Here is a 19105-nt window from a genome sequence, read left to right on the forward strand (position 1 = left end):
AAAGGCTACACCCTTAAGACAAGGGTGAATCAGAAGTAAACCAGCCTTTCCACAGATCTGAGCACAGATTTGTACTGTATGGGTGTTTCAGAAAACCTCGAACTGTGAGAATGATGTAAGATGGTCTTAGAATGGAGTGGTCAGAATTCCCTAGCATAAGCAAATAAAAATCCTTTCTGAAACAAGACATCATAAACGATAATCAGCAGAAAGGCAAAGAAACTTTAATAGACATTTAAACACAGTAAACCCAAGTATTTATTCTATGTTTCCTTGGGTTTGAAGGTATATATACCTGAACTGAACAATGCCAGCTGCTTATCAACTGTCATTCACAAACCTGGAACACATCCACCTCGTAAATACTGATTCCAGTTTCAAATACATCTCTAACAGAGTCTAGCTTATCATTATTTCTAGTTCTCATATTTGCACTTGTATCATCAAAATGCAATAGTGCCATGCACAGTGGCTCACACTTGTAATCCCAGCACTTTGGGAGGCCGAGATGGGTGGATCACCTGAGGTCAGGAGCTCAAGACCAGCCTGGCCAACATGGTGAAACCGCATCTCTACTAAAAATACAAAAAATTAGCTGGGCATGGTGGGGCTCACCTGTAATTCCAGCTACATGGGAGGCTGAAGCAGGAGAATCACTTGAACCTGGGGAACAGAGTTCCAGCGAGCCAAGATCACGCCACTGCACCCTAGCCTGGGCGACAGATTGAAACTCCAACTCAAAAAAAAAAAAAGAAAAAAAAAAAAAAGCAACGGTTTTGGCCGGGCGCAATGGCTCACACCTGTAATTCCAGCATTTTGGGAGGCTGAGGCCAGTGGATCGCTTGAGCCCAGGAGTTTGAGACCAGTTTGGGCAACACAGCAAACCCCGTCTCAAAAAAAAGAAAAGGAAAGAAAAAAAAAAAACAATAGTTTTGAAATTTTTTGATGGCTCATAATTTTATTGAAAAGACAAATGGTTTTTGCTCCATAATTACAAAATATTTTCATTTTTATATTAATAAAAATCAATCAGAATAATAAATCCAATGAATATTTTCACTTCTACATCACCTATTTCCTTCTAGGTGCTTTTGTACACACACCTGACTTCACCATTTCTCCAGCTGTCTAATAAACTTTGGTGCAAAAACATCATAAAACCACCAGCTATTTGTCTCTCTACTGGTACCAGCAAACTACCAGGTATTTGTCTCTTTACATTTATCTTTTAATTCACATAATAATTGTGAAGCATTTCTCAGCCTCAGAAAATCTTAAAAGAAGCTATAGGAATAAACTGCTCAATAGCAAAAATGAAAGCCAAAAGACAGTGGAATAAAAAAAAATGCACTGAAAGAAAAATATATTCCAACCTAAAATTCTATACTGTGATGGATTTTTTCAAGGCCACAAATCCCACCTGCCCCCCTTTCTGAAAGCACAGCCCTTTGAATGTGACATTGTTGCTCATGCCATCAACAGATGGAGTCAGGCCAGGCACAGTGGCTCTCATCTGTAATCACAACACTTTGGGACGCCAGGGCAGGAGCATCACTTGAGATCAGGAGTTTGAGACCAGCTTGGTCAACATAGTGGGACCCTGTCTCTATAAAAAATCAGCCAGGTGTGGTGGCACACGCCTACAGACACAGCCACTTGGAAGGCTGAAGTGGGAGAATGGGTTGAGCCCAGGAGTTTGAGGCTACAGCAAGCTACAATCATGCCACTGCATTCCAGCTTGGATGACAGCATAAGACCCTGTCCGCCTACCACCCGCTGGCCCCTCAAAAAACAGATGGATTATAATTCCTTCACTCTTTGTGTTTTTTTGGTCTTTTTTTTTTTTTAACCACACCTCACTTGGCACTTTAACCTTTTGAATCTGGGCATGGCTACCTGACCTGCTTTGGTCAGTAAAACATTAGCAAATGTGACATCAGAGGACTGAAAAGTGCTTGTACACTGGAGCTTGTCCTTTCCGTATTGATTTTTGGACCCAGCCATGTGAAGGAGTGAGACAGCAAGCTAGATGATGAGACATGGAGCCCAGTTGCTTTTTTCACCCAACAAACTACCAGACATGTAAGTGAGGCCATCTGGGTCTGTCCAACCCACAGCTGACCTGCCAAGTGACTACAGATACATGAATGAGCCCAACTATAACCATGTATACCAGAGAGATAAGGGATCCCATTGAGTACTGCCCAAAAATCTGACCCACAGATTCAGGGGCAAATATGTAGTTGTTGTTCTTGAGTCATTAAGTTTGGGACCGGGTACAGAGGCTCACGCAAGTAATCCATGTTTTGGGCAACTGAGGTGGGAAGATCACTTGAGCCCAGAAGCTAGAGACCAGACTGGGCAACATTCAGAGACCTTGTCTTTATAAATAATAATAAAATTAGCCAGGTGCCAGCTACTTTCAGGAGACTGAGGCAAGAGAATCGCTCGTACCCAGGAGGCAGAGGCTGCAGAGAGCTGAGATACAGCCACCGCACTCCAGCCTGGGCAACAGAGCAAGGCTCCATCTCAAAAAGGAAAAAAAAAAAAAAATTAGCCGGGCACAGTGGTGCACGCCTGTGGTCCCAGCTATTTGGGAGGCTGATGTGGGAAGATAGCCTAAGCCCAGAAGATCGAGGTGTGACTGCACCACTGCACTGAAGCCTGGGTGACAGAGACCCTGTCTCAAAAAATAAAAATAAAAATACTAAAAAGATTAGAAAACAAAATGAAAGTAACTAACAATAAAATGCAAAAGAAGTTTGGGGTGGTGTGTTCCCAGCATGTGATACTGTGGAATAGATACTTGGTCTCTGTGCCTGTTTCCTGACGCACAGATCTAACTAAAAGCCTTGGAGTCTCAGAAGAGATAACTGTCTTTTGCATGCTACTGAATGAATTGAATGGTGGTGTTGGGGGTGGTGGTGGCGCTTAAAAAGCTAATTTAGGATGGGGCTAGTCACTGGAAAAACCAAGGCATGATTGGAGGGTTGGGACTTTCAGGCCCACCCCCAATCTCCAGGGAGGGGAAAGGGGCTGAAGGTTAAGTTGATCACCAAAGGGCAATGATGCCTAAGTAATGAAGACTCCATAAAAACCCCAAAGGGGCTGGGCACGGTGGCTCGCACCTGTAATCCCAGCACTTGGGGAGGCCGAAATGGGTGGATCACCTGAGGTCAGGAGTTCAAGACAAGCCTGGCCAACACAGTGAAACCCCGTCTCTACCAAAGATATAAAATTTAGCTGGGCATGGTGACACCCACCTGTAATCCCAGCTACTCGCAAGGCTGAGGCAGGAGAGTCACTTGAACTTGGGAGGCGGAGGTTGCAGTGTGAGCCGAGATCGCACCACTGCCCTCCAGCCTGGGAAACAGAGTGAGACTCTGTCTCAAAAAAAAAACAAACAAAAAAAAAAAAACACAAAACACCCCAAAGGACTGGGTTCTGAGGTCTTCCAGATAACTGGACACAGGTTCCTGGAGAGTGGCCTGCCTGGAGAGGGCATAGAAGCTCCTTGCCCCTTCTCCCATACCTCGCCCTATGCACCTCTTCCAACTGGCTGTTCATCTGTGTCCTTCATAATATTCCTTAAAATACTTGTAAATAGAAGTGTTCCCTTGAGTTCTGTGACCTGCTCTAGCAAATTCACTGAACCCAAGGATAGTGAGGGGTGGGAGGGGGTGGTGCCTGTGGGAAGCCCAATTTATAGCAGGTTGGTCAGAAGCACAGGTCAAACCTGTGTTTGAAACTGGCATCTGAAGTGACGGGCTGTCTTATGGGAATGAGCTCTCAACCTGTGGGATCTGATGCTATTTCCAGGTATATAGTGTCAAGGATTGAGCTGAATTAGAGGACACTCAGTGGGTATACACTGCAGAATTATCTGCAGAATTGGTTGTTGGTGGGGGTAAAAAAATCCATACATCTGGTGCCAGAAGTGTTGAGTGACTATATTGAGAGTAGATAGTAGGAAAAACTCTTTGGTTTTTCACATATCCTCAGACCCAGAAATAGATAATTGACACATAAGCCCAGCAAAAATATCTTTTAAGAATAGGGTAGAATGAAGATATTTCTAGACAAAAAAACCCTGACAGTTGGCCCTCAGAAGATCTTTACTACAAGAAGTTCTGAAGAATGTATTGTAGGCAGATGAGAGATGCAAGAAGATACAGGGAGAAAAGAAAGTGCTAAATATCTGGGTAAATATATTTTTTTTAAAAATTGCTTTTTAAGTACAATAATAATCGTATCTTAAAGGATTCTGAAAATTTGATGCCAGTATCCACTCTCAGACATTCTGATTTAATTTGCCTGAAACATCTGGGTATTACTATATTAAAAATCACCCTAGATATAACTAGGGTTAGGAACCACTGACTTAAATTTTAAAACTTATACTTATATATCTAAAGCTGGCATGAATCCTCATCTTCCTTCCCCTTTTATTTATCTTGCCTTTTTTTTTTTTTTTTTTTTTTTAAATAGAGACAGGGTCTCACCCTGTTGCCCAGGCTCGACCTCCTGGGCTCAGCTTCCCCAGTAGCTGGGACTACAGTCGCACACTACTGAGCCTGGCTAATTAGCCCTCCTGGGTTCAAGTGATTTTCCCACCCTGGCCTCCCAAAGAGCTGGGATTACATGTGTGAGCCACCTGGCCCAGCCTATCTAGCGTCTTTTTTTTTTTTTTAAACGGGGTCTCACTCTGTCACCCAGACTGGAGTGCAGTGACGCAATCTCGGCTCACTGCAACCTCTGCCTCCCAGGCGAAAGTGATTCTCCCAGCTCAGCCTCCCAAGTAGCTGGGATTACAGGCGCACACCACTACACCCCACTAATTTTTTGTAGAGGCATGACTTCTCCATGTTGCCCAGGCTGTCTTGCCTCTTTTTAAGCTACTGACTCATGATTCTCCACGGAAGTAAGCAACATGCGTGTGCACGCGCACACATACACACATACACTTATTATCTCTGTAATACAAAGTAGCTCAGCCTAAAGATACTAAAGGTCTAAAGAACACTAAGCTTCTCAGCCTTTGGTGAAGATGAAGTGGAAAAAACAATTACTATGTAATTTCTAATTATTTCCCATCAACAGGATATGACTATTTAAATTCAGAGGGTGTTCACAGTTGCAAGCATCCAAGAAAATCTCAGCTAAAGCTAACGCTAAACAGGTTTTCTGGTTAATGTTCTTCTACGGTATATTCAGCAAAATATTATCTAATATAAAAGACCAGACTGCAGGCCATCTGTTAACAGTAACAGATAGGGATACTGCATTACTCAAAACTGACTATGTTAACTGTTCATTTTCCTAAACTGCTCTGTTGACTAGCTATGAAGGATGGTGCTTATCATCTAACTCAAAATGCAAATATCAGAATTAACCCCCAAAGCAAGCCTTTGAATGATGAAAGATTTCCAAAATAATAAATTTTGGCAACAAAATCAAAATAAAAAAGAGGTAGAATCTAGGTCAGTGCAGTGGCTCACGCCTGTAACCCCAGCACTTCGGGAGGCTGAGGAGGGAGGATCATTTGAGGCCAGGAGTTTGAGACCAACCTGGCCAACACGGTAAAATGCCATTTCTACTAAAAACACAAAAAATTAGCTGAGCATGGTGGTGCACACCTGTAGTCCCAGTTGCTTGAAAGGCTGAGACACAAGAATCTCTTGAACTCGGGAGGTGGAGGTTGCAGTGAGCCTAGATTGCACCACTGCACTCCAGCCTGGGTAAGAGAGCAAGACTCTGTCTCAAAAAAAAAAAAAAAAAAAAAAAAAAAAAAGACAGAGAGAGAGAGAGACAGGAGGAATCCATATAAAGAACAAGAAGCCGGGTGCAGTGGATCACGCCTGTAATCCTAGCACTTTGGGAGGCCGGGGGGGGGGGGGGGGCGGATCACGAGGTCAAGAGTTCAAGACCAGCCTGCTCAAGATGGTGAAATCTCACCTCTATTAAAAATACAAAAATTAGCTGGGCATGATGGTGGGTGCCTGTAATCCCAGCTACTCAGGAGGCTGAGGCAGGGAATTACTTGAACCTGGGAGGCAGAGGCTGTAGTGAGCTGAGATCACACCACTGCACTCCAGCCTAGGCCACAGAGCGAGACTCCATCTGAAAAAAAGAACAAAAAAACACTGCACCTAACAGTTAATACAAATGAGTAAACTGTCTGAATCACACACTGATTTTGAGATGCACCATTACTTTACGTACCACTAGGGGAGAAATATTCTACCAATCATATGATGTCATAAAATTTAAGATGCATTCTGATTTCAAAGATGTTAAGATGAAAAATTAACAGCATGTTTTAGAATCAATAAGACATCACAAATAACAAAATATTATGACCAGGTAACCAGAGGACTTTTGCTGGAAGCTAACTACCAATATTAGAACTCAACCAAACCAAACATACAACCAACTGTAACACCAAAATACAGCCTCAAAGATCTCTCGCTCTGTTTTTGTTTGTTTGTTTTTTTGAGACAGAGTCTCCCTCTGTCGCCCAGGCTGGAGTGCAGTGGCACAATCTCAGCTCACTGCAACCTCTGCCTCCCGGATTCAAGCAATTCTCCTGCCTCAGCTTCCGCAGTAGCTCGCTCTTTATTTTTATGCTGTAAATATAGATATCAATGAGAAAATATTGATTTCATAGAGAAGTGGCAATATATTCAAATTCATCACCAACAAAAAAGCAGTATCACGAAACCATATACAACCAACAGTAAGCATACAAGCACAGTGTGCTCTCATGCTCTCTCTCTCTCTCTCAAAATTCCAAACTAGCCAGGCGCGGTGGTTCACGCCAGTAATCCCAGCACTTTGGGAGGCCAAGGTGGCAGATCACCTGAGGTCAAGAGTTTGACACCAGTCTGGCCAATGTGGTGAAACCCTGTCTCTACTAAACATACAAAAATTAGCCAGGCATGGTAGAGGTTGCCTGTAATCCCAGCTACTCAGGAGGCTGAGGCAGAACTGCTTGAACCCGGGAGGTGAAGGCGGCGGTGAGCTGAGATAGCACCACTGCACTCCAGTCTGCGCGACAGAGCGAGACTCCTTCTCAAAAAAAAAAAAAGTTCAAACTATTTTAAGTCTGTGGTGTCATACATACACATTTGGCCCTGGTTAATAAAACTCCACACCAACTATTAAAGACTGACAAATTCCGTGAATTTCTATAAAAATGCAAGACATATAAAGAGAATACAGCCAAACATTTTTCTAACTTAAAATGACACCATGATTTGGATGGATCATAGACCATTTTAAATGAGTTGCATGTACATTATATATTATAGTCTAAGACACGTGTCAGCAAATTTTTTCAGTAAAGAGGCATACCATACTTATTTTAGGCTTTGCAGAACACATACAATCTCTTGTGGTCTCTATGGCATCCCCTTAATAACCTTTTAAAATTATAAAAACCATTCTTAACTCCAGAGCCATACTAAAACAGGTTGTGGGGCTGGATCTGTCCCTTGGACTACAGTTTGCCCACCTCTGGTCTGAGATATAAATGGGGCATAAATGAGTGCTTCATAAAATAAGGTTGCTGGAGAAATTAGAGAACAAATCTATTCTTTTTTAAGGTACAAAAATTGCTAAACAAAAAAATAATGAAGCCTGCTGAAGAAAAAATTTTTATTGTTTTCATTTTAAATATAATCTTTGAGTATACTTTCTTTACTCATGAATGAGATACTGAATTGAGTAGCTGAAGAAATATTTTTATTTTTACCTCTTGGAAGAAACCATGTACCCTGCATATAAATTCTAACCACTCCTAATTTTTTTTTTTTTTTTTTAGAGGCAGGGTGAATGTCACTCTGTCAGTCTCCCAGTGGCATGAACATAGCTCACTGCAGCCTCAACTTCTTGGGCTCAAACAATCCTCTTGCCTCAGCCTTCCAGGCAACTAGCACCATAGGTGCATGCCACCATGCCTGGCTAATTGTTTTTAATTTTCTGGTAGAAACAGGAGTCTCTCCATGTTGCCTAGGCTGGTCTCAAACTCCTGGGCTCAAGAGATCCTCCCACCTTGGCCTCCCAAAGTGCTGCAAATACAGGTGTAAGCCCACTTATTTTAAAAAATAGACATTGAGGACTGGGTGTGGTGGCTCCTGCCTGTAATCCCAGCACTTTGGGAGGCCACGGCGGGTGGATCACCCAAGGTCAGGAGTTCGAGATCAGGCTGGTCAACATGGTGAAACCCCATCTCTACTAAAAATACAATAATAAGCCAGGTGTGGTGGCAGGCACCTGTAATCCCAGCTACTCGGGAGGCTGAGACAGGAGAATCGCTTGAACTCAGGAGGCAGAAAGTGCAGTGAACAGCAATGGCACCATTGCACTCCACCCTGAGAAACAAGAGTGAAACTCCATCTCAAAAAAAAAAAAAAAAGAATCCCAAATACAATAATGAAAAACTATAAAACAGGAAGGGGTAAGTATTCTGACTTCACACGAAAACATTCTTTTTATTTTTATTTTTTTGGAGACATTGTCTCATTCTGTCACCCAGGATGGAGGGTAGTGGCATCATCATGGTTCACTGCAAGCTTGATCTCTTGAGCTCAAGCAATCCTGCTTCAGCCTCCTGAGTAACTGGGACCACAGGCACTACCAGCCACCATGACCGGTTAATTTTATTTTTATTTTTTGTAGAGATGAGGTTTCAGTATGTTACTTGGGCTGATCTCAAATTCCTGAGCTCAAGTGATTCTTCCACCTTGGCCTCCCAAAGTGCTGGGATTAAAAGTGTGCAGTGGCTCATGCCTGTAATCCCAGCACTCTGGGAGGCCAAGGTAGGAGGATTACTTGAGGCCAGGAGTTCAAGACCAGCCTGGACAGTAGAGAAAGACCTTGTCTCTCAAAAACAAAACCCATTCTAACAGCAATCATTTGGATTTGCTCCTTGTTCTCTGTTAAAACTAAAAGAATGAGTAAGACACAATTTTGGTTGTCTGAGGTATTTTGTTTGTTTTTGTTTAATTAGACCTAAGTTGCAATACATTTGATCTCTTTTTGAAAAACTGTTTATTATGAGTATGTGATGACTCATGACTGATGAATAAGACTGAAACAAGAAGGAAATGGACGAAAATTGATCTCATTAAAGTAGATAAAAGCTTTTTGTAGAACTCAGCCAACTAATGCCATCTCCTGCAGCTACTGCCTTGTCCAAATACTCTTTGTGGCACCGCACAGTCCATTTTATCCTCTAGCTTTGTAGGATGTCTTACTTTATGAAGTTCAATTTCAGAGTAAACTCTGTCAAGTGTGTTTTATGAAGACTAAATGTTGCTTGTAATAAGTCAACGGATAATGTCTAATTTTTTTAAAAAAATCAAGAGAACAGCTTACACATTCTATTTAAAAATTAGGTAAATAAGAGTAAAGAGCTAAAACAGTTGAAATTGCAGAGAACTAAGACTGACTGTAGTCCTTCATTATCAACCTGATAGCGCTCTGACTTAAAACTATGAAGATGCATTACTTGGTTTAAAGGGAGACGAAGAGATTAAATCCATGTGCCTGCCAGAACACAGGCCTCCTTAGAGTATAGGAGTATGTTCTGAAGGCTGAATGCACACACAAAAAAAGCTATCTGATGTAGATATATTGATTCTGTGGTTTTTTAAAATCTTCCCCAATACAATTAACATGCAGTATCATAAGTCATTCTGTGAAAACAAGATTTAGGATAAGGTTTTTGAAATAACTTTTTCTCCAAAATGACATGGTCTCACAAGGCATTTAAGTAATCTTTAACAAGATGAAAATAGGTAAATGTGTCCTGAGAATTCTGCATTTATGTCTGCATTTATTAAGAGCCAGCTCTTATTGATCCATATGAATGGGTTGGAATCCTGAACAACAAGGTTCAGGTTTGCCCTAGGAATGCTGAGTTGCAATAACGTACACAAGCTGAGAAGTTAAATTCATAAGTTGTTTTTAAAACTCAACCCAGGAGTTCCAGGCTGTAGTGAGCTATGATCGCGCCACTGCACTCCAGCCTGGGAGACACAGCAAGACCCTGTCTCTTAAAAATACAAACAACAACAACAAAAAAAACAGCCTGGGCAACATGGTGAGACCCCATCTCTACTAAAAACACAAAAATTAGCCAGGTGTGGTGGCATGCGCCTGTAGTCCCAGCTCCTGGGGTGGTGGAGGCTGAGACAGGAGGATCACCTGAGCCTTGGGAGGTAAAGGCTGCAGTGAGCCGTGATTGTGCCAGTGCACTCCAGGCTGGGTGACAAAATGAGAACTTGTCTCAAAACAAACAAACAAAAAACCCTTGGCCAGGCGCAGTGGCTCACGTCTGTAATCCCAGCACTTTGGGAGGCCGAAGTGGGTGGATCACCTGAGGTCAGGAGTTCGAGACCAGCCTGGCCAACATGGCAAAACCCCATCACTACTAAAAATACAAAAGTTAGCCAGGTGTAGTGGCACACACCTGTAGTCCCAGCTACTAGGGAGGCTGAGGCAGGAGAATGGCTTGAACCAGGGAGGCGGAGGTTGCAATGAGCTGAGATTGGGCCACTGCACTCCAGCATGGGTGACAGCAAGACTCAGTCTCAAAAACAAAAAACAAAACAAAACAAAAAACCCTCAAGAGATCTTCATATGAAGACCTTAGCATGGCCACGCACAGTGGCTCACGCCTGTAATCCCAGCACTTTGGGAGGCGAAGGCAGGTGGATCACAAGGTCAAGAGATAGAGACCATCCTGGCCAACATGGTGAAACCCCGTCTCTACTAAAAATACAAAAATTAGCTGGGCGTGGTGGCACGTGCCTGTAGTCCCAGCTACTCTGGAGGCTGAGGCAGGAGAATCGCTTGAACCTGGGAGGCAGAGGTTGCAGTGAGCCAAGATCCTGCCACTGCACTCCAGGCTGGGTGACAGAGTGAGACTCCGTCTCAAAAAAACAAACAAAAAACCTTAGGATAACTTTTCCAGAAGAGCTGAATCTCATGTTGCACCATTTTTTAAAACACAGGCCTAAATCCTAAAGGCTATTTATCAGGTATAAAAGATGCTAAATCAAAAAACCAAATTTTACGCCTGTGCAGTGGTTTATACCTGTAATCCCAGCACTTTGGGAGGCTGAGGTGGGAGGATTGCTTGAGCCCAGGAGTTTGAGACCAGCCTGAGCAACATGGCACAACCCCCATCTCTACAAAAAAAACTAAAAAAAAACCAAACAAAAAAACCAAGCCTGGTAGCATCTGCCTGTCGTCCCTGCTACTCAGGAGACCAAGATGGGAAGAGTGCTTGGGCCCAGGAGGTCAAGGCTGCAGTAAGCCATATTCACGCCATTACACTCCAGCATAGGAAACAGAGAGAGACCCTATTTCAAAAAGAAAAATTTTTTTTAAATTAACTCAAAATGGATCAAAGGCCTAAATGTAAGATCTAAAACTACAATATACTGTGAAGCAAGCATAGGAGAAAAGCTTCATGACATTGAATTTGCAATAATTTATTGGCTATGACACTAAAAGCACAGACAACAAAAGAAAATGATAAAGTAAACTACATCAAAGTTGAAGACGACCAAATCAATAGAGTGAAAAGGCAACCTATGAAAAGGAAGAAAATATTTGCAGGTCATCTATCTGATGAGAGGTTAATATTCAGAATATATAATAAACTCTTACAACTCAACAACAAAATACAAACAGCCTGATTAATAAGTGGGCAAGGATCACCTGAGGTCAGGAATTTGAGACCAGCCTGACCAACATGGTGAAACTCCATCTCTACTAAAAATACAAAAAATTAGTGCACCGTTGCACTCCAGCCTGGGCAACAGAGCGAGACTACGTCTCAAAAACAAACAAACAGAAAATAAGTGTTGGTGAGGATGTGAAGAAATTAGAACTCTCTGAACTGTTGGTGGGAATATAATATGATGCAGCTGCTGTGAAAAACAGTATGCCCTAACCTCAAAAACTTAAAAATAGAATTGCCATATGACCTAGTAATTCCACTACTGGGTATATACCAAAAAAAAGTGAACACAGGGTCTCAAAGAGATATTTGTATACCCACATTCACAGCAGCATTATTCACAAAAGCCAAAAGGTAGAAGCAATTCAAGTGTCCATTAACAGATGAACAGATAAACAAAATGCAGTGTATACGTATAATGGAATGTTATTCACCTTTAAAAAGGAAGGAAATTCTGATACACATGCCGCAACATGGATGAACCTTCAAGACATTAAAAGTGAAATAAGCCAGACATAAAAGGACAAATATCACGATTCCACTTACATGGAATACCTAGAGTAGTCAAATTCACAGAGATAAAAAATAGAATGGTGGTTGCCAGGGACTCTGGAATGGGAAGTTGTTATTTAATGATTATGGAGATTCAATGTAAGATTTAAAAAAAAAAAAAAAAAAGGCCAGGAGGTGCTTCATGCCTGTAATACCAGCACTTTGGGAGGCTGAGACTATCTAAAAGGGAGGACACTCCTGTTAACAAAGATCTTTCAAGATTAAGGAAACCCCAGCACCTCGGGATGTTGAGGCAGGCAGATCACCTGAGGTCAGGAGTTCGAGACCAGCCTGGCCAACATGGTGAAACCCCGTCTGTACTAAAAATACAAAAAATTAGCTGGGCTTGGTGGCGGGCGCCTGTAATCCCAGCTACTCGGGAGGCTGAGGCAGGACAATCGCTTGAACCTGGGAGGCAGAGGTCACAGTGAGTCGAGATAGCGTTACTGCACTCCAGCCCAGGCGACGGTGAGACTCCGTCTCAAAAAAACAAAACAAAACAAAACAAAAACAAATTCAAAGTACAAATCATGTTCTGTGACACCACATTGGCTTGAACCCTCTCCTCCTTCCTCTCTTGCGTAGCATTTTACATGCACCCTCTTCCTCTCCAGCATTTCCAATCTCTCACCCTCTCTACTGGTTCCCTGTTTCTTTGCCTTTAAAACAGATTTTCCTAGATAGTAAGATTGGGGTGAAAAATATTTTAATAAATAAAAAAATAGATCTCCATAATCTGTTTTTTTGTTTGTTTTTTGAGACAGACTTCCGCTCTTATTGCCCAGGGTGGAGTGCAATGGGGCAATCTCAGCTCACTGCAACCTCTGCCTCCCAGGTTCAAGTGATTCTCCTGCCTCAGCCTCCCAAGTAGCTGGGATTTTAGGCATGCGCCACCATGCCCAGCTAATTTTGTATTTTTAGTAGAGATGGGGTTTCATCACGTTGGTCAGGCTGGTCTTGAACTCCTGACCTCAGGTGATCTGCCTGCCTCAACATCCCAAGGTGCTGGGATTTCCTTAATCCTGAAAGATCTTTGTTAACAGGAATGTCCTCCCTTTTAGATAGTCTCACCTTCTCTTCACTATCAAACTTTTCGGTCAAAATCTGGGTTCTGCCGGGCGTGGGGGCTCACGCCTGTAATCCCAGCACTTTGGGAGGCCAAGGCAGGCGGATCACGAGGTCAGGAGATCAAGACCATCCTGGCTAACACAGTGAAACCCTGTCTCTACTAAAAATACAAAAATTAGCCGGGCGTGGTGGCGGGCGCCTATAGTCCCAGCTACTTGGGAGGCTGAGGCAGGAGAATGGTGTGAACCCGGGAGGTGGAGCTTGACAGTGAGCCGAGATCGCGCCACTGCACTCCAGCCTGGGTGACAAGAGTGAGACTCCTTCTCAAAAAAATAAATAAAATAAAATAAAATAAAATAAAATAAAATAAAATAAAATAAAAATCTGGGTTCTATAGAAGGTATTCTATCTCTTTTACCAGAAACCATGCTCTTTTCTCAGTCATTAACTTTAGCTGTGCTACTCTAGTTACCCAAGGGTTTACTACCTTTTAAATTTCTCTTTTCTTGACTCTCACAACTAAAATTTCCCTTTCCTTGGCTTCCACAACTAAACTCCTGTAAATCTTCTTGTAACTCCCAACCACTCCTCCTGTTACCTATAATTCCCTCCACAAGCCTCTTTCCAACCCTTCATCGCAAGCTGTCCCCAGGGCTCAGTCCTTGGAATCATAGTCTTCTATTTACACATTCTTTAAGAGGGCTTGGCCATTTTCATAGCCCCAACTATAGCCTTATAAGCAGGATGACTCTAAAATTTAGACTCAGTTCAAGAGTTAGTTCCAAGTTTATATCCTCTTACTGGAAACTGCCTGAAATGCCTAGCTGTCATTTCAAATTCAGCACAAATTACATATTTTTGGAGGTAGTGTAACAGTTAAACTTTGACTTTTTTGGGGGGTTGGGCGCAGAGTTTCGCTCTTGTCCCCCAAGCTGGAGTGCAATAGCGTGATCTTGGCTCACTGCAACCTCCATCTCCCGGGTTCAAGCAATTCTCATGCCTCAACTCCCTAGTAGCTGGGATTACAGGCGCACGCCACCACACCTGGCTAATTATGACATTTTTAGCAGAGGCAGGGTTTCACCATGTTGGCCAGGCTGGTCTTGAACTCCTGACCTCAAGTGATCCACCGGCCTCAGCCTCCCAAAGTGCTGGGATTACAGGAGTAAGCCACGGCACCCAGCCTAAACTTTGACTTCTCTTCACTTGGTTAAATTCTATCATTCCTTCAGCTCAATCATCATCTTCTCAGGGAGACATATCCAGACTCCAATTAGCCAATGTCCAAGCATCTCTCTTTCAAAGCTCTCACCATGGCTACGTCCTCCACTCGACCATGTCTTTTAGAAGGGGGAGCTGAGGGTATCATCATCACCACATTCCCAGCACCTACAATTAAGGTGCTGGCACACAGTAAATAATATTTACCCAAAATTTGTCAAACGAATGAACAAAAGCACTGTAAATTTTTCCTAGGTAAGAAGTCCCCATCAATCCCACTTCTATCTCCTTTGCTACTAGTCTCCTTTGGCCCAAGTCTGTTTTGAGGTCTCATTGTAACAGCAGCTTTCTCAGCGCCTTCAATTTTCCTCACTTCAATTCATAGTGCCCCGAGTAATTTCCTTAACTATTTCATCATGACATTCTCCTACCCAAGAATGTTTATAGACCTCCTAGTTCCCCCGAAAACAAAACTAAGTTAATATAGACATTTCAATAGACAGCCAGCTTTGACAAGAACAGTAATGCCAGCTGCTCAGGACCCTTCCCACTAGCCATGCACGGCTTCGAAAAACATTGACTGTTTTCTTTGACTCTCCTTTATTCTCCTTGCAGACAATAATATGAACTTGGAAATGTTACTATTAATTGCATCATAAATGCCTAACATTAATTAACGAAGTTTTGTTAGCAATACATTTATAAACCATCTCTTAGGGTATCTTTCTTACAAAGCATGATTAATATTATTTATAACACTCTTACCAATTAGTTTCAGTTTCACTTTAGAAACCTATCCTTAAATCCTAGGGAGCTAAGTAAGCTATGAAGAGGCAAAGGCATAAGAATGATATAATGAACTCTGGGGACTTGGGGTAGAGGGTGGGAAGCGGTTGAGGAATAAAAAAACCACACACTGGGGGCTGGGCACGGTGGCTCACACCTGTAATCCCAGCACTTCGGGAGGCTGAGGCGGGTGGTCACAAGGTCAAGAGATCGAGACTACCCTGGCCAACATGATGAAACCCCATCTCTACTAAAAATACAAAAATTAGCTGGGTGTGGTGGTGCGCGCCTGTAGTCCCAGCTACTTGGGAGGCTGAGGCAGGAGAATCTATTGAATCTGGGAGGCAGAGGTTGCAGTGAGCTGAGATTGTGCCACTGCACTCCAGCCTGGCGACAGAGCGAGACTTGTAAAAACAAACAAACAACAAAAAAACCCCTACACACTGGGTACAGTGTACAATGCTCGAGTAATGGGTGGACCAAAATCTCAGAAATCACCACTAAAGAAAGAACTTATTCATGTAACCAAACACCACATGTTCCCCAAAAATCTATTGAAATAAAAAAAATTTTTAAAACCCTATCTTTAAATCGCAGATTCAAAAACTCTAAGTAAAATTGACCAGGCACAGTGAGTGACTCATGTCTGTAATCCCAGCACTGTGGAAGGCCAAGGCAGGCAGATCACCTGAGCTCAGGAGTTCAAGACTGGTCTGGCCAACATGGTGAAACCCCATCTCTACTAAAAATACAAAAAATTACCTGGGCGTGGTGGCACACACCTGTAGTCCCAGCTACTCGGGAGACTGAGGCACGAGAATCACTTGAACCCAGGAGGTGGAGGCTGCAGTGATCTGAGATTACAGCAGTGCACTGCAGCCTGGGCAACAGAGCGAGACTCTGTCTCAAAAAAACAAAAAAGAGGCCGGGCCTGGTGGCTCACGCCTATAATCCCAGCACTTTGGGAAGCTGAGATGGGCGGATCATGAGGTCATGAGATTGAGACCATCCTGGCTAACAGGGTGAAACCTCGTCTGTACTAAAACTACAAAAAAAATTAGCCGGGCATGGTAGTGTGCGCCTGTAGTCCCAGCTACTCAGGAGGCTGAGGCAGGAGAATGGCGTGAACTCAGGAGGCAGAGCTTGCAGTGAGCCAAGATCACGCTACTGTACTCCAGCCTGGGTGACAGAGCCTGAGACTCCGTCTCAAAAAAAAAAAAAAAAAAGGCCTCTAAGTAAAATTATGACAAATAAAGTTTAGTTATCTAAAGTAAGATTTGGCCGGATGAGGTGGCTCATGCCTGTAATCTCAACACTTTGGGAGGCCAAGGTGGGTAGACCACTTGAGGTCAGGAGTTCAAGACCAGCCTGGCCATTATGATAAAACCCTGTTCCTACTGAAAATACAAAAATTAGCCAGGTGTAGTGGCGGGTGCCTGTAATCCCAGCTACTTGGGGGGCCGAAGCAGGAGAACTGCTTGAACTCGGGAGGCAAAGGCTGTAGTGAGCCGAGATCACACCACTGCACTCTAGCCTGGACAACAGAGCAAGACTCTGTATCGGAAAAAAAAAAAAAAAACAAGAACAGGTGGTAAACAGGGTGAATCCTATGGTAAGTGAATTTCATCTCAATGAGTTAGAAAGAGCTGATAAGGAAAAAAACAAAAACAAAAACAAAGGCAAGGCCCTAGGAAACGAATGGAACCACAAGATAAAAGGAACCTGGGTCTCTGGATCACCAGATGACTGCATCACAGTCCCCCACAACTTCTCTTGTGTTCAACCACTGATATTTTTGGGTTTTTTATGGAAGTTAGTTTTGTCCTAATTAGCACATGAACTGAAAGGAAATCTTTTATCTTGTACACTGGTAAAGGGCTTATTATTAGCTCAACTCAATTACAAGACAAGTTGACCACCTTGACACACAATGAAATTATATCATGCTTAAATATTTTTCCATTGGGCAATGGAAAGATAATTTTTTTTTTGAGACAGGGTCTCGCTCTGTCACCCAAGCTGGAGTGCAGTGGCACAATCATAACTCACTGCAGCCTCAATCTCCTCAGCTCAAACAATCCTCTCACCTCAGCCTCCAGAGCAGCTGGGACTACAGGAGCCTGCCACCACGCCTGGCTAATTTTTTTGTTTTAATAAAGTCAGAACTTTGGATCAAAATACACACACATTTGTAATTCTAATTTTTTTTTTTTTGAAATGTAGTCTCGCTATTGTTGCCCAGGCTAGAGTGCAGTGGCGTGATCTCAGCTAACTGCAACCTCCACTTCCTGGGTTCAAGCAATTCTGCCTCAGCCTACCAAGTAGCTGGGATTACAGCCTCCCACCACCACACCCTGCTAATTTTTGTATTATCAGTAGAGATGGGGTTTCACCATGTTCGTCAGTCTGGTCTCAACTCCTGACCTCAGGTGATCTGCCTGCCTCAGCCTACCAAAGTGCTGAGATTATAGGCGTGAGCCACCGCACCTGGCCTCATTAATCTCTCTTTCTAACAAATTCTCCCCATTCCTTCCCACATTTAATATGTCAGAAGTTAAAATCCAAGAAGTAATGATTTCTACTTCCACTCATGAGGATTAACTACTATGGAAACTATCTCCCTTACTCCCATTGTGAACGAGACACAATATATGACGTAACCTTCAGTCACTGGACAACAGGCAGCATTAACTATGATCCCTGAGAGAAGGCAACAAACCAGGTGAGCCGATGATTACCTAGCTTACTGTATGGAAGTGGCTTCCCGGCTGCAACACAGGGAGAGGGAACCCAAACAGAATTGGATAGTCTTGCTGAAAAGAGGAGAGAAATTAAACTTTAGGGTATCTAAAGCAGCTAGAATTTGAAAGATTTGAATAGTGGAACCAAGAAAGAGTGAGAATAAAGAGTTCTGTACTGAGAATGGTCACAGGAGATTTGTGGAGGGATCCCCTTGAATCTAATAAACAATTACCACACTTGTAAAGCAGGAATATGACTAATAACAAAACTTAATCAATAGAAAAAGATCAAGAAATGACAGACATGATGGAATTAGCACATGAGGACCTCAAACAGCTATTACGGCTGGGCACGGTGGCTCACGCCTGTAATCCCAGCATTTCGGGAGGCCGAAGTGGGCGATCACGAGGTCAAGAGATCAAGACCATCCTGGCCAACACAGTGAAACCCCGTCTCCACTAAAAATACAAAAATTAGCTGGGCATTGTGGCACGTGCCTGTAGTCCGGAGGCTGAGGCAGGAGAATCACTTGAACCTGGGAGGCGGAGGTTGCAGTGAGCTGAGACTACACCACTGCACTCCAGCCTGGCGACACAGTGAGACTCCGCTTCAAAAAAGAAAAAAACAGCTATTGCAAGTACACTAAAGGGTGTAAAGAAAAACATGAACATAATGGATAATCGAATATATAAATAAAACACCCAAATCAAACGTCTATAGGTGAAATATACTTAAAATACAAATTCACTGGATGGTATTAATAGCTGACTGAAAACTACAAAAGAAAACATCAGTGAACCTGAAGATCAGCAATAGCAATTATCCAAAATGAAACACAGAGAGAAAAAAAACAGGGGGAGCGTTGGTGGGGGGATTAAAAACAGAGCCCACTTGTGGGACAATAGCAATCAATTTAACCTACATAAGATTAGAGCCCAGGAGAGAAAGAGGGACAAAAAAACTGTCTGAAGAAATAGTGGGCAA

At 42.9% G+C, this 19105-nt stretch overlaps 1 protein-coding gene across 5 annotated transcripts in view; it reads right to left on the bottom strand.

Annotated features, from left to right (window-relative positions):
* The window catches only part of GLG1 (golgi glycoprotein 1), a 159675-nt gene that overhangs the window by 121683 nt on the left and 18887 nt on the right, over positions 1–19105 (bottom strand). The window lies entirely within an intron of this gene.

Source organism: Homo sapiens, chromosome 16 (genome assembly GCF_000001405.40).
Source record: "Homo sapiens chromosome 16, GRCh38.p14 Primary Assembly".
In the NCBI taxonomy this organism is placed as follows: domain Eukaryota; kingdom Metazoa; phylum Chordata; class Mammalia; order Primates; family Hominidae; genus Homo; species Homo sapiens.